General features: G+C 42.6%; 1 protein-coding gene across 1 annotated transcript in view, besides 1 other annotated feature; it reads right to left on the bottom strand.

Moving 5' to 3' along the window:
- The window catches only part of EPHB1 (EPH receptor B1), a 465,208-nt gene that overhangs the window by 233,996 nt on the left and 215,574 nt on the right, over positions 1 to 15,638 (bottom strand). The window lies entirely within an intron of this gene.
- Positions 6,877 to 7,377: an enhancer, noted in NCBI's record as "H3K4me1 hESC enhancer chr3:134737937-134738437 (GRCh37/hg19 assembly coordinates)". NCBI's record gives its function as "activates a minimal SCP1, AML or CMV promoter by ChIP-STARR-seq in naive H9 embryonic stem cells {active_cell/tissue: H9 hESC(naive)}" and the evidence as "EXISTENCE:reporter gene assay evidence [ECO:0000049][PMID:30033119]".

Raw genomic sequence — 15,638 nt, 5'->3', positions numbered from 1 at the left:
TTCCCTATTTAATAAATGGTGCTGGGAAAACTGGCTAGCCATATGTAGAAAGCTGAAACTGGATCCCTTCCTTACACCATATACAAAAATCAATTCAAGATGGATTAAAGACTTAAACGTTAGACCTAAAACCATAAAAACCCTAGAAGAAAACCTAGGCATTACCATTCAGGACATAGGCATGGGCAAGGACTTCATGTCTAAAACACCAAAAGCAATGGCAACAAAAGACAAAATTGACAAATGGGATCTAATTAAACTAAAGAGCTTCTGCACAGCAAAAGAAACTACCATCACAGTGAACAGGCAACCTACAAAATGGGAGAAAATTTTTGCAACCTACTCATCTGACAAAGGGCTAATATCCAGAATCTACAATGAACTCAAACAAATTTACAAGAAAAAAACAAACAACCCCATCAAAAAGTGGGTGAAGGACATGAACAGACACTTCTCAAAAGAAGACATTTATGCAGCCAAACAACACATGAAAAAATGCTCATCATCACTGGCCATCAGAGAAATGCAAATCAAAACCACAATGAGATACCATCTCACACCAGTTAGAATGGCAATCATTAAAAAGTCAGGAAACAACAGGTGCTGGAGAGGATGTGGAGAAATAGGAACACTTTTACACTGTTGGTGGGACTGTAAACTAGTTCAACCATTGTGGAAGTCAGTGTGGCGATTCCTCAGGGATCTAGAACTAGAAATACCATTTGACCCAGCCATCCCATTACTGGGTATATACCCAAAGGACTATAAATCATGCTGCTATAAAGACACATGCACACGTATGTTTATTGCGGCATTATTCACAATAGCAAAGACTTGGAACCAACCCAAATGTCCAACAATGATAGACTTGATTAAGCAAATTGTGGCACATATACACCATGGAATACTATGCAGCCATAAAAAATGATGAGTTCATGTCCTTTGTAGGGACATGGATGAAATTGGAAATCATCATTCTCAGTAAACTATCGCAAGAACAAAAAACCAAACACCGCATATTCTCACTCATAGGTGGGAACTGAACAATGAGATCACATGGACACAGGAAGGGGAACATCACACTCTGGGGATTGTTGTGGGGTGGGGGGAGGGGGGAGGGATAGCATTGGGAGATATACCTAATGCTAGATGACGAGTTAGTGGGTGCAGCACACCAGCATGGCACATGTATACGTATGTAACTAACCTGCACAGTGTGCACATGTACCCTAAAACTTAAAGTATAATAATAAATAAATAAATAAATAAATATTCTTTGTAACCTTCTTGAAAAAAAAAAAAAAAAGAAAGAAGGAAGGAGGGAAGGAAGGAGGGAAGGAAGGAAGGAAGGGGGGAGGGAGGGAGGGAGGGAAGGAAGGAAGGTTGTATAGATATAATAATCTAAACACGCTACATTTAACAAAAAAGTTGTAAATATATGTTAACAAAGTGAACAAATATACATTTTGTATTATACATATGTAGATATGAAAAATCATATATAATTACCACATGGATATATAATACATATAGTAATAGATATTAGCAAAATAAGAGAAGAAGAAAAATATAGAAAGGGGCAAGAGATCCAAATCCTCAGCATTGATAAAGGGAAGTCAAAAGACAATGTCTAAATTGACATCAATAAAGCACATTAAGCATATAATTCAAAAAATGGGAGTATATCTAAGAAACAGATAGGAAGTGTTAGGGAAAAGAATGGGGTAGGGGAGATGATCAGGAAACTGATTTTTTCCTTTTGGTACTCATGGAATTGTTTAATCCATTACTTTAATAAAAATAGAAATTAATTTACGAAATGAAAAGCTGCCATTTCCAAAGTGGGCCCACTACAACAGGAAGGAAAAAGGTGCTAGACAACCCCCCGGTGTAGGATGGATGGAGACCAGATGAAAAGGGAGCCCCCAGACACGTGCTCTGCTCTGGCTGGGAACTAGCACACTTTTAAATTCTGGCGATGTCCATCCGTGTTTCTAAACCACGTGGTTGAAAGGTTTTAAAGAAGGTGGCTTTAGCAGATTAGTTGGAACTTCCCCTCTCTGGGATTAAAACAGAAGAAGTAAAAGTTGTATTTTCACAACTAGAGCAACACTAGAGCCCTGTTTTCATTCCACCCAACAGTTTGTGACATGAAAATAAACAATATGGAAAGGAGGTGTTTCTATATTTTTCCCGAGTCTCTTGAGATGAAGTTGGGCAAAGGGTATGCAGCCAAACTGTTTTCACACCATGCTTCAACTGAGTCTCACACTTCTTTGCATTTAGAGGGGATTTTCATCACTGCCTGGTTTCAGAATTGACTAGGTAGAGACTGTAAGCTGATAGCTCAGCTCAGCCATCATTACCACGTGTGGCCTGAACCAAGTGTTGGTGGTGTCTGGAAGAGCTGATTACATGTATTTAAAGTTGCAGCGGGGCCCCTTTTCAGTTTGGCCCAAAATAAACTACTTCATTGTTCATCCCAAATTATAATCTTAACCAGTGATATATTCACCTAAAATACCAAACTATATATTCAAAACAATTCTCCTAAGAAACAGGAATTATTTTTTAAAGAGTTTAAAGTATAAACATGCACAGGGTGAGAAAATTCACATAAAAAGAAGAATGGTATAAAATAGTGGCTAGACAGCAATGCCTGACACAGTTTCTCCCAGATTCCCACTAAAATACCATAAAAACTAGAAGTAAAAACTTGAAGCCTGCATATACTACAAATTGACACAGTCCTAGAACCTTCAGGGATTTCCATCAATTATTAGGTCATGAAAGTGAAATTTAAAAACATAAACTGAGGCACACAAATGGATTTTTGCCTGAAACAGAGCAAACTTGAAATAAAATAGTGGAAATGATCTATTTCTGCCCCTAAGTTCTAAATAAAAAAATACAAGTCAGGCCACCTTCTATTGCACTGATTCTCAACAGGGGGCGATTCTGGCACCAACCCCCAACCCCAGGAAATATTTAACAATTTCTGGAGATATTTTGGCTGTCACAACTTGAGGAGAGGGGGTGCTACTGGCATCTAATGAATAGAGGCCAAGGATCCTGCTAAATCTTCTACAATGCACAGGACAGCTCCCCACAACAAAGAATTATTCAGACCAAAATTTCACTAATGCAGAGGATGAGAAAAACTGCTGTACTCCATGGGAGATGTATTTTAAGGCAGTAAGAGTGCCTGTTTCTCATCATACTGAACATATTAATCTCATACTCTTGTTAACATACACATACAAACATACACACAGAAACAACTTAATACATCTTAATACATTATGTTTGAAAGCTCTCATATTTGTCCAAAAGGACTTTTAAAAATCAACAAGAATTCAGGCAGGAGAAAAAGTAAAAGAAGAAACCAGATAACCAATGAAGGACTAGCCTCCCGTCATCTCACAAAGGCAAGAACAGAACACGTTGGACAATATCTACTGAATTTTGCAGAAAATGATTGTGGCCAGACATTTTCTACTTGACCAACACACTGTCTAAATGTGGAGCAACAAACACACTTCAAGACACACATGAGCTCTAAAGTTATAACATATGATTTTAGAAAAAACATAATACTTGAAAACACACTCCACCCTATTGAGTAATGAATCCAAATGAAGAATTTGAGAATGAGGAAGCTGGAGGTGAGTAATAAAACCCATTTAAATGCAAAGTTCTCTACATTATTGTTATAAATAATGAGAATGAGAGAAAATAAATAACACAAGTAATAAGGAAGGGGATACAACAACAGACAGTGTTGTCTTCTGTTTTAAAACCTTTCTATATGGTACTGTGCTTATGAATTGAAAAATCCCAGCAAATTTAATACTTTTTCTAGAAAATGTAAATTATCAAATTGTGACACAAGAACAAATAAAAACTTAAGAGGTCAATTATAAGGACAGAATTTTTCAAAACTACCAAAGTTTACATCTGAGAAAGATTCCAAGACCGAGTAGTGTTACAAGTGGGTTTCTTCAAACTTTTAAGAAACATAATTCCATGCTATATTAACTGCCTCATGAATTAAAAAATATAAAATTCTGTCTAGTTCATTTTATGAAGTTAGTAAAAATCTTATACCAAAATGTGGCAATGTAACTAAAAAAAGAGAGAGAAATTTACATATTAATACAGATGTAAGCATTAAACAAGAGCACTGTAAAACAAACACAACAGGCCGGGCGCGGTGGCTCACGCCTGTAATCCCAGCACTTTGGGAGGCCGAGGCAGGGGGATCACAAGGTCAGGAGATCGAGACCATCCTGGCTAACATGGTGAAACCTCGTCAATACAAAAAATTAGCCGGGCATGGTGGCGGGCGCCTGTAGTCCCAGCTACTCGGGAGGCTGGGGCAGAAGAATGGCGTGAACCCAGGAGGCAGAGCTTGCAGTGAGCCGAGATCGTGCCACTGCACTCCAGCCTGGGCGACAGAGCGAGACTCTGTCTAAAACAAACAAACAAACAAAACACAACATTCAACATGACTAAGGTTGATCCTAAAATTGAAATATAGTTTCATATGTTTTCATTAATAGTAATCAAAATTTCATGTCAGTTGATCAACAAGGAAAACAATATCCTTATTTCCAAACATATATATTCTTCTTTACTATTCTTTCAAGTTAATATGTGTTATTTTCTTCCTAGCATTCTACTTTAAACCTACACAATTCTTATTGATGAAACAACAAAAGGCAGTCCCATTAAAATTAGAGAGAAATAATCTTATTCCCCTTCACTAATGCTTTACACTTTTCAAAGATCAGACCAGGGCAATAAGAAATGAAACAGAAATTAGAGATGTAACTATTAAAAAGGAAGAAAAAATAATCATCGCTTTGGACAGTATGATTAAAGACATAGAAATTGCAAAGGAAACAACCAGAAAATATCTTATAATTAGAAAAGAGTGTTGAGAAAAGTAAACCGGTGGGGGGTGGGGGGAGAGATTTCTTTAATACCAGAAATAACCAGTTTTAGAAATCCACTCACAATAGCAATAAAAAAAATCAAAAGCAATCAAAGACATCGGGAAGGCCCTAAATTGTGGCACAGAAATAGAAAAAATTAAAAACATAATAAAATATATAAAATAAGATTTGACAATATGAAACATATGTTACCAGATGGAAGACTGAATACAATCAATTCCCAAATTAATGTATTATTTAAAAAACACAACAAATAAAATTATTGGCAGCTGTTTACTGGTGGGGAAAATGCATGGTTAAAAAGAAGACAGATAGATGTGACAAAATAATTCTAAGATCTTCTGGTAAAATGAATAGGCAAAGGAATTAAGAAAGACTGTAAAAACAATAAGAGAGGTGACTTGTCTAACCAGGATGTAGCTTAGTTTACAACTGTTAGAATTAGAAAATACAACACTGGTACAATCATAGATAAACAAGGCACTGTAACAGAGAAGACTTGAAATAGACCCAAGTACATTTAAGAACTTAATAAATTATGAAGGAAGCAGTAGCAGCAAATGGGGTAGAAATACACTACGTCAATTGACTATTGGGAAAAAAAAATTAAATTAGACTCTCACCCTATTACTATTTACGAAAATACATTCCAGGTAGATTGAAGAATTAATGTAAAAACTAAAGCCACTTACAACAGGACTATATCCATATATTACCTTGAGATTTAATTATTTTAATGTTTTAACAAAGTAGTTTTAAAAAAATTAGCAGAAAATATAGTTGTAAATTTAACTAGAGGACACCTAACCTCGGAGAATAGGAGGGGTAGATCACAAAGGGAAAGCTTGAAACAGTCAATACATAAAAATTTAAAACTGCTGCTATTAAAATCATAAGAAAGTCTAATGGCAAATTGAGGTATTGAGACATGCTACAACCTTGAAAACATTTTGCTAGGCAAAAGAAACCAATTATAAAAGGCCATATAGCGCATGATTCCATTTATGTGAAATGTCCAGAATAGGCAAATCCATAGAGATGGCAAATGGATTGGTGGATGCCTAGGGCTGGGGGAGGAGTTGAAGTGAAATGGGGAGTGGCTGCTATTGGGCAAGGGCTTCTTTTTGGGAAGATGAAACTGTTCTAAAATTGATTGTGGCGATGGTTGCACAACTCTATGAATACACTAAAAACCACTGAATTGAATTGTACACTTTAATTGGGTGAACTGTATGGTATGTGAATTATATCTCAACACAGCTATTATAAAAAAATTAATGGCAAATAACCAACGGGAAGAAATATTGTAACATGTTTGGGGAAATGGTAATAAACTTGACATATAAGGAACACTTAAAATAATAAGTAAAACACTGACACACCATTGGAAAGCTGGAAAAAAAATCAATGAACAGATAAATTAACCAACACCGTTTGTTGTACCAAGTTAGCAGAGGTTTAAGAAGCAGTAATGCTCAATGCGGATGAAGGTGCTGGGACAAGGGCATTCTCAGCTGTTGAGGCAAAGCCTGCATCTGGAGACCAATACCTTGGCAGTAGGTATCCAGACTCATTGCCAAGTACAGACCCTTTGATTCCAGTTCTAGGAACCTATTCTAAAGAAATAAGCACAAAAGTGCCTATGGATTTATGAATGAAGTTGTTCACAACATTATTATTTGTGGATATTTTTAATATTCACAAATTATAAATAACTTAAATGCTCAAAAAGGAGGAGATGGTTAAATAAATTATGGATCAGCCACAAGATTGAATATTATGAAGGCATTAAAAATGTTTTCCAATAAATTTAATGATAGGGAAAACGATCACAATGTAATATTCAATGGATGAAGGATATAAAATTGCTTACAATGTGATCCCATACACACACAATGCTAAAATAAAATATATCAAAGGGCTGGTAGAAATTATTCAGATGGTGTCATTCTGGGTGATTTTCATTTTTTCTTTATATCTCCCATATCTTCCATGTTTCTACGATAGGCATATTTTATTTCTGTGATTAGAAAAGAAAATGTCATTTTTCTGACATATTCATCTACAGGCAAGTCTTTGGACAGCAGAGATGAATAACTGCAATGCTATTCCTTTAAAGGCTTATGTCTGCTTTGCACACACATGACTCCCCTTTGGCCCCCAGAGTCCTGGGGTGGAAGCCGTTTTAAAGCCCCACCCTGCTTGACCAGCCTAAGGGACCCCAGATACATGCTCCATTCTTATCCCTGGGGGATAAGACTGCTTTGTGATGGGATTTCAGGCCTTTGGAAGAGGTAGGGAAGAATCTTGCTCAGCCAACAAGCCTACTGCTGTGGGGGCAGCCACCTCCTGTGCTGGTGCTAAAGGCTCGGGGTCTGAGGTATGGGGTGTGGGGCCTCCAGGTATTGTGGAGTGGGGCACGCAGAGCTCCCTTTGGTGGCTGTGATGGCTGAGGCCCTGGTAGGAAACGCCACTGAACACGTGGTGCTCACAGACAGACTTCCCTGATGCTCCCTCTCTCCCCTGTCCTCTCTGCCTCATGCCTCTCCAAGGCACAGCCTCAGCTTAGAATTCCTATCTCTCAGTCCCTATCAGCTGGCGAGGCTCATTCCTGTTCAGCATTGAGGAGTAAATGAGACCATCACCAAAGCCCATGTGCAATCCCTGTCACATCGTAGCCACTGAAAACATGTTAGTAAATTGGTCTGTGGAGGAAATGAGGCCGGCATTCACTCAGCAGACACAGTGCTAGGCTACATGTCCCCAAGAAGAATGAGACACTGTTTGTGTCCTGCGAGGCTCACAGATGGGTCTATCATAGGAAAAGGTGGGTGGATTGTGGTTGCTGGTGTAAGCAGAGGTTTCAAGAATCTGCTAAATATGTTCAAAGGTATCTGCTAAATTTGTTCAAAGGTATCTACTAAATATGTTCACAACAAAGATTGCTGGGAAGCTGTAGGGAGCTGGGAAGATTTCATGGAGGAGATCGGTGGGTGCTTTAAGAAGGGGTGGGATTGCAGTGGGCTGAGAAAGGGAGGAAGGTGACATCTGAGCTGGTCTTCGAAGAAAGGGAGGGCAGCATTTTGGAGAAAGGCCATTACAGAATGAAGTGACAGCATCAGCAAATTCCTGGAGGTGGGAGGAGCATCAGATGGGCTGTGTAGACTTTGTCCCCAGGAAGCCCCCAGGAAGTCAGCTCTTGCTCAGCACCCCCATCATAGTAGCCAAAAGGCCTTCTTAGCCACTTGTCAGCACATGATCTCAAATTACCTCTGCCTTAATGGGTCTAAGCTAGTCAGAACATGGGGAAGATGGGATGATCACGGGGCCTGCTTGGAAGTACAAGCACCCTGCATTTTGGGGGCTTCACATCAACTTTCTGAAGAAGATGTTTTTTCCCCTTTACGTCAAAGACTTGTCCACCTTTCAAGGCCCAGGTTAAACACCATCTCCTACCTGACTGCTTCTCCTACCTCCTCTGCCCTCCCTGGAGCTCTCATCATGCCCCCCCTCACAGTCCAGGCATGGTGCATGTGCCTGCCTCCCCAGCCACAACAGCAGCTGCAGTGAAAGGTCATAGTGCGACAACCTCAATGTCTCTGAATGTTTAAGGGCCCCTTCATTAATTCAACAAACACAGACTGAGCAACCACAGCAGTTCAGGCCCTGCATGGACACTTGGGCATGCCCCAGTGAAAAGACACAGTCCTTGACCCCAACACACTCAGCCTCTAAGTAATGAGACAAAGGAAAAAGACACGCCCAGTGCCACCAGGTGCTTGGGCAACAGGAGCCTGCCAAGACTCCCAAGTACTCAACACAGAGAAGGCCAGTCCCACAGGGAGGGGAGCATAGGAGGCAGCATAGAAAAGGAGTGAACAGTAGCTCCACCAACCACGACTGGGAGGGCATACCCCAGTCCCCCAGTCCCCAAGCCTAGCAGAAGAGCTGTGGGAGCTACGGGAAGCAGGTGCTGGGACACCAGAGCCACAGCTATGGTCCGATTCCCCTGCCTACTCCACTTCACAGGGACCTGAGTTTAAGATTCATTGGAGGGCTCCGGCTGCCAGTGAAATAATGATTTATTCTCTCTCTCACTCACACACGCACACTATTTGCAATCCTTTGTTCTCAGTTTCCTACACATTTAATTACTTTAGGATAAATCTGATTTCCCCTCTGGGAAAATCTCTCTTTTGTTTGTTTTCTTTTAATTTCCCTTTCTTTCACGTTACATTTGACAAAGCTGGGAGAGGCAAACAAGACAGATGAGCAGGGAAGGTGGGAGATGCAGGAGCCACCTTCACTGCCAGCCCAGCAGTGAAGGCGGTGCTTGGTGACACAGACCCTGCACTTGCACACAGAGCTGTGAATTAGAAGTGCCCTGTACTTACATTTAATTCAATCACAAATACTTATTCACATAAGCATCACGTATTTTCATTCTTGGAGGATAAGGCCTAAATTTGAACAATATGTCCCCAGCCTGCCTAAGGAAGAAGTCTGCCAGTTCTGCCTCCTCCTTCCCTTCAAGCTTCAGGGATGCCTGGAGATGAGGGAAGGGAGCTGTTTGGGGTGAGCTACAGCCCAGATAAGCAGGAGAACTCTGGGAATCTCTGCAGCGGGCAAACATACCTGGCCAGAGTCCCGAGAAAGGAGCCTGATGGGATCTTTTAAGGAAGAGACATCACATGGATGGGATGGAAGCAATGCTAATCAGTGAAATTTTTATTTTGATCTTGAAAGAAGGAAAAAAAGCTATTAATTTTCCCAGGCAAGAGGAAGGAACTGGCACCCCGCTGCCATGTAGGGGAGCCTGGGCTCACCTGGCCAGCCAGACCCTGGCCAGGGTGGGTCTTTAGGCCTGATCCTGCCTATGACTGATGCACTGGGTGGCCATGGGAAAGGCAACTGGCATTTCTTGCCCTCAGCCCCTCAAAGTCTGCTCTTCCACACTGGCTGCACTGCAACCAGCTCTGTGCACATATTGCCCAGAGTGGTGGTGGTTGTAATTATTAGAATTATTGTTTCACTTAGGTTGGATCACTTGTTCCCCTCCTCCAATCTCTCCAACAGCTTCCTTCACACTTACAGAGGCAATAGACTTCAGCCTGAGCTTGTTTCTCTGCAAAGAGTATATTATTGGCAAATGGTGAATCAGGAGAAAATCTGAAACCATCAAACCCACTGACACAGATCCTAGGTGAAACCACACACCCCTATCATTTCATATGCTATTATCGCATATCTGCATTTTATTGGAAAACAGAGGCTGTTGCTGGAAGTACTTTAAGGTGACCCAAACCTTGCTTCTTTAGTATTCTCTTAAACTATGACATTAAAGTAGACGTGGCAGCTGATCACTTCAGAATGAAGGCCCTTCAATCTCCAAACTCATCCCCACCTTTACCCATTTATAATTGCACCAACCAGGAGGGCTAGCTTTCTCCACTTGTCAGGAAGGAAAGTTGAGAGCAACGTCTGTGCTGCTGCCACTAGCTCCTGGCTACTTCCCAGACCTCATCTCAACCACTCTTCTCCTCTGCTACTTCCAGCCCATGGTCCTATCTGGTCCTTGACACTGCCAAGATCTTCCCACCTCAGGGCCTTTGTCCTGTCTGGGTCCTCTTCCTGGTATGCCTTTCCCACTTCTCTATGTGTGGTTGGCTCCTCATTTTTCTGGCCTTAGCTCAGGTGTCACCTCTTCAAAGAGGCCTTCCCAGACTATCCAGCTAAAGCAGTCCCAGCCACAGACACACTCCATCTTTATTTAAAACCTCCCCCAGGCCATTTTCAAGTTCATCCAGGTTAAAAGATCAGCATTTTCTGGATCTGTGCCACCTTTTCATAGTCAGCAGATCTCTGTCTGCTCTCAGGGGTATGCCAAAGGCCACTGGGTCATTGGTAAGCAGCCAGGGATCCTGAGGCTCCCAGAGACCTAGATGCCCAGTGACATTAGGGATGGCAAAACAAGCTGGGCATGGTGGCTCACACCTATAATCCCAGCACTTTGGGAGGCAGAGGCGAGCAGATCACCTGAGGTCAGGAGTTCGAGACCAGCCTGGCCAACATGGTGAAACCCCGTCTCTACTAAAAATGCTAAAAATTAGCTGGGTGTGGTGGCATGTGACTGTAATTCCAGCTACTTGGGAGGCTGAGGCAGGAGAATCGCTTGAACCCAGGAGGTAGAGGTTGCAGTGAGCCGAGATCATGCCACTGCACTCCAGCCTGGGCAATGGAGCAAAACTCCATCTCAAAAAAAAAAAACCAGGCACTGGACAACTGGACAGCACTGAGAAAAGCACTGTCACTGGGAGATGAAAGCGGCAGTCCGGCCCACAGAAGGATGTAGTCAGACTCCATGAGCAAAAGGCAAGAGGGCAGTTGCTGGAATGGCCACGCACAGGGGGAGTCAGGACCAGAGGTGGAGGTGAGGTCCTGTGAGGCTGGGGTGCCATACACGGGAGTTTCTAACACACCCCCACTCTCCTCCACACACACCTGCAGCCCAGGGTCCTTTTGTTCCTAAAGACAGGGGGTTAATCTGTGATTGGCTGTGACCAGAAATTCTTTCCCTCTTGAGGTCTATTAAATAAGAAGAAAGGAAAGTAAAACCAGAAAGCAAAAACTGGAAGAAATAAGTATAACAACTCATAAAAGAGAGGGTGATTTATGCCTGCATGAAAGCCAGCTCCAGGTGGGCCATCACTGTGGAATGCCAGGGCCTTGCTCTGTGTGACTCCACTAAGGCCTGCAGGGAAATTGCTTCATGAATGACACATGCTCTCATCAGGCAAGGCAGGCTTCAAAATGTGATCCATTTGGAAGGGTGACCTGGACGCTGGGCAGGCATGTGTCCTCCACTGGTCTGCAGCCCCACAAGGACACATGTTTTCCCAGTGTTTAGCACAGTGCCAGCCACCAGCACACACTCAATAGCCAATTTGCTGCATTAAAATTAAACATTTATCAGTCCACTCAGTATGTATGGTCTTCCTGCTAGAAGCAGCCTTCCCCTACTAAATAAATACCTGGATAACTCAAAACTCAGCACCACTCTTGTATCAGTTAGGATTTCTGATTATAAGCAACAGAAATGAACTGTGAATAAAAGAAACAGAAAAGGAAGGCCCCCTTTTGGAAAGCTTTGAAGCAGTTCTCAGAATCAAGTCGGGCTGGGCCATAGAGCATGGGCCACACCACAGGGACTGAGTGACCTGGCTGGACATTCTGGATGGCGCTTCTGTCCCTGCCCACCCTCCAAACACTTGATGCAGTTGCAGATGTCTCAATTCTCCCTGAATCTTCAATTCCCTCCATTAACAATCAAAGCCCGAGTCAGGAGCATCCAGGTAGCTGGTTTGAGATCAGGTGCCCACATCCTAGCTCCCCAGAAGTAGGAGGGAAGACCACCTGGGCCCTTTGGATTTCCTGGCACTCTCACAGGGCAGACCTCCTCCTCCCAATAACCCAGCTCCACCTTTCCCACCCCAAGAATCCCATCCCCATGGCTCCCGACTCAAGCAGGAATGAACATTTGGATTGTGGGTAGTGTTTCCACCACCACCATTAGACATAGGGTCATCACAGCATAGAATCTCATCTTCAACCTTCAGAATCACTGTTTCCATCAGACTTTTTTAAAGTACCTGAATTCAAGCAGGAATAAGCTCTCTTGATTGATGTGTAATTGAGTTAGTCATATATTCAAGTGTTTACAATGTGCTAACATCCACAGCCAAGAGGAAACACTGTTGCAGTTGTAACTTTAGCCTCTGGTTACCAAGGGAGGTTGTGGACATTCTCTTTGGGAATATATTTGGAAATAAGATTAGCCCCCTTATAGAGCTAAGTTGTTCCAAGCTGGGCGGGCTGGGTGGTTGTAATATGGACTATAAACCACTGAAAGTGGTTGCCTTTCCTAAAGCAACTTGGCCCCAGGATTCTCAGCCCAGTGGTTGATGCCTCCTTTTCTGTCTCTCTGCTCTCACCCTAAGATTGTCTGTCTAAATCACCCGCTAACTCTCCCAGATGTGTCTTCCGACATACGGATTCCTCGGTATGCGGTGGTGATATAGCAGGTCAGGCCGCTACCTCCCAGTGTCTGCAATCTGCTCATTTCCCACTCCCCCTGACAGGCAGGCAATGACTCTACAGCTGTCCTGATGAGAGATGTGGGCACTGCAGAGTTGGCACTGCAGGGGTAGACCACACAATGACGGTGCAGGGGCAAACCTCTGCTACTCACTCAATCCCGATATTCCTGTTACTAAGGTCCTGAGAGGGTGGGACTGTTGTCCTTTTTCACATTTGGGGTATAGACAAGGTAGGCAAGTGACTGCATTCCTGTGCTGTCAGCTTTCCTTCTGATAAACGGAAATGACTCCCCATCCCGTTTGGCCCATTCGTAAGTAGTGTAAAGGTGGGGATGATTTTGGAGGTTGAAAGGCTTTCGTTCTGAAATCATCAGGTGCCACATCTATTATGATGTCTCAGCTTGGAAATGTACTGCAAAAGGCAGATTTTGGTTACCTTTAAATACTTCCAGCAAAGTCCCTGGTTTTCAATAAAATATGTACATGCAAATACATATATTATATGAAATGCTGGGTGTATGTGGCTTTTACTCAAGGATCTGGATCAGTGGATTCAGAGTTTCTGCTAGTTCACCATTTGCCAATAAAATAGCCTTTGCAGAGAATAAGCTGAGAAGCTTGAGCTGATGTTTATTCTCCCTCTGAGGGAGTTGGCTTGGGGGATCCTCACAGGCTTGACCTCCTACAGCTGCAGGAGACAGGGCAGTGGGGACAGAGAGCCAGGCACCTCCTGGCATGTATCCCTCTATTAGCCATGTTAATTGGGGAAACAAGAAAGAAATATGCCAACTAAATCCAACAAATTTGAACCACAATCTGGCCTTGGCCAAGACTGAAAAGTAGGGGAAAATGAAGTTTTTCTGAAGCTCTCTATGTCCTCTGTCATGTCTCTAGGTAAATGTATAAATGAAGGGTATTTTTCTTGTTTTAATAAGCTACACACCTTCATGAACATTCCAGAACAAGGCAACTGACGGAGGATGTTCTAAGTGTGTGTGTACAAGCCAGCCATGAGTGAGCGGCCGCTTCACTGACTGCCACCATGTGCTATTCCAGGAAGTCAGCCTTGAGGACTGGCTGTGCTTACTGAGCACACACCAGCCCACTGCCACATGGCAGCCAAATGCACACCAAGCACAAACACCAAGCTGCAATGTTGATGCCTTGGGAGCAAAGAATGCCCTGATGTGCTCAGCTGAGCACTACTCTGTCCTGGAGCAGTGACAGTCCTGATTGCCCAGTAATTGCTTGGTGGTACTGAATTTATACATTGTATTATTCAGAGATTATTGATTCCTTCAGGACAAGGCACCTTCAGTTTGAATCACTGCCACCAGATCAAGTGGTCCCTCATTACGTATATAGAAGACTCTGACAGACTCTCTCTGGCATGGAATAGCCAAAAGGAAAGAATATGAAAATCAAGTTAGTATTGCTTTATCCAGTAAAAAAAATCTGGACTGCATTGTCAGGATACAGTTTTTCTATACCCTATTCTCTTGACACCCTTCAAAACAGGAGATAGGAAAAAAGAGAAAAATCAATCTTCACGAAAATAAAGAAATGGTGGCATTACAAACCACCTAGTAGAAAATGCACTGGAATTTGGAAGAACAATGAAAGCAGACTCACACCTCCTCAGACTTTGGCCCAGATTTGGGTTTCTCTAAAGGCAAATGTTGCATCCTGAGAGGCCCTGCAGTAATAAGACAGCCACATGTTGTAAGGGAAGTGTGGGGACCTGTGGGATAGCTCAGAGGGTGTTCTTTCTGTCTCTGTTTCCCCCACTCCCATCTTCACTGCCTCCTGGCTGAAAGAAACTTCCAGAACAGAGTATGAAGCAGGCAGAGCAGCAGCCTCAGTGGCTACGACCCCCAGCACCCTCAGCAGAAGGCACACTCCTGGGCATCCCACGACACGCGCTTCATTCATACTCTGGAGAGGAGAACACCAACAAATATAACAGAAAACTATTCAAAAACACACAGAAGAAAGGCTTCTTGAATTAAAGTCTTGGAACTGCCATTTGAAAAAGTCAAAATACATCCTAAGATAAAATCAAGATGCATCCTGGTGAAATTACTAAATCTCCAGGATAAAGAAGGAATCTTCTTGACATCCAGGTAGAAAAAAATCAAATGACCTAAAAGAAGTAAAAATGAGGCCTGCCCTAAAACTGACCACTGCAATGCCATGTTCAGCTGACCACGTTCAATGCCATAAGACACTGAAGCAATGTCCATGAATTCTGAGCAAAGGAATTTTAATTTATGTGACCCATGTATATAAACCCAGGCAGGTTGCCCCTGCAACCCCATGTACACAAATAGGCAAGAAGATTCAAGCATTCTCAAAACTTCAGGGAACAGAGCACCAGTGAGCTATGGAGGGTGGGAGGTGGGTGGCGAATAACCTGAAAATGGAATCTGGGAATCTGGTCAAACAAAAAGTAACATAAACCAAAAATGTTAGAACTTGTTTATCCAAGTGTGGCTCTTGCAGCAGCAGTACTGACATCATGGAGGTTGGGGGCAGGTGTTAGAAATACAGACCCTCGGCCGGGCACGGTGGCTCACTCCTGTAA

Source organism: Homo sapiens, chromosome 3 (assembly GCF_000001405.40).
Source record: "Homo sapiens chromosome 3, GRCh38.p14 Primary Assembly".
Classification (NCBI taxonomy): Eukaryota; Metazoa; Chordata; class Mammalia; order Primates; family Hominidae; genus Homo; species Homo sapiens.
The sequence above is the reverse complement of the archived record's forward strand: the minus strand, read 5'-3'. Positions and strand labels throughout refer to the sequence as shown.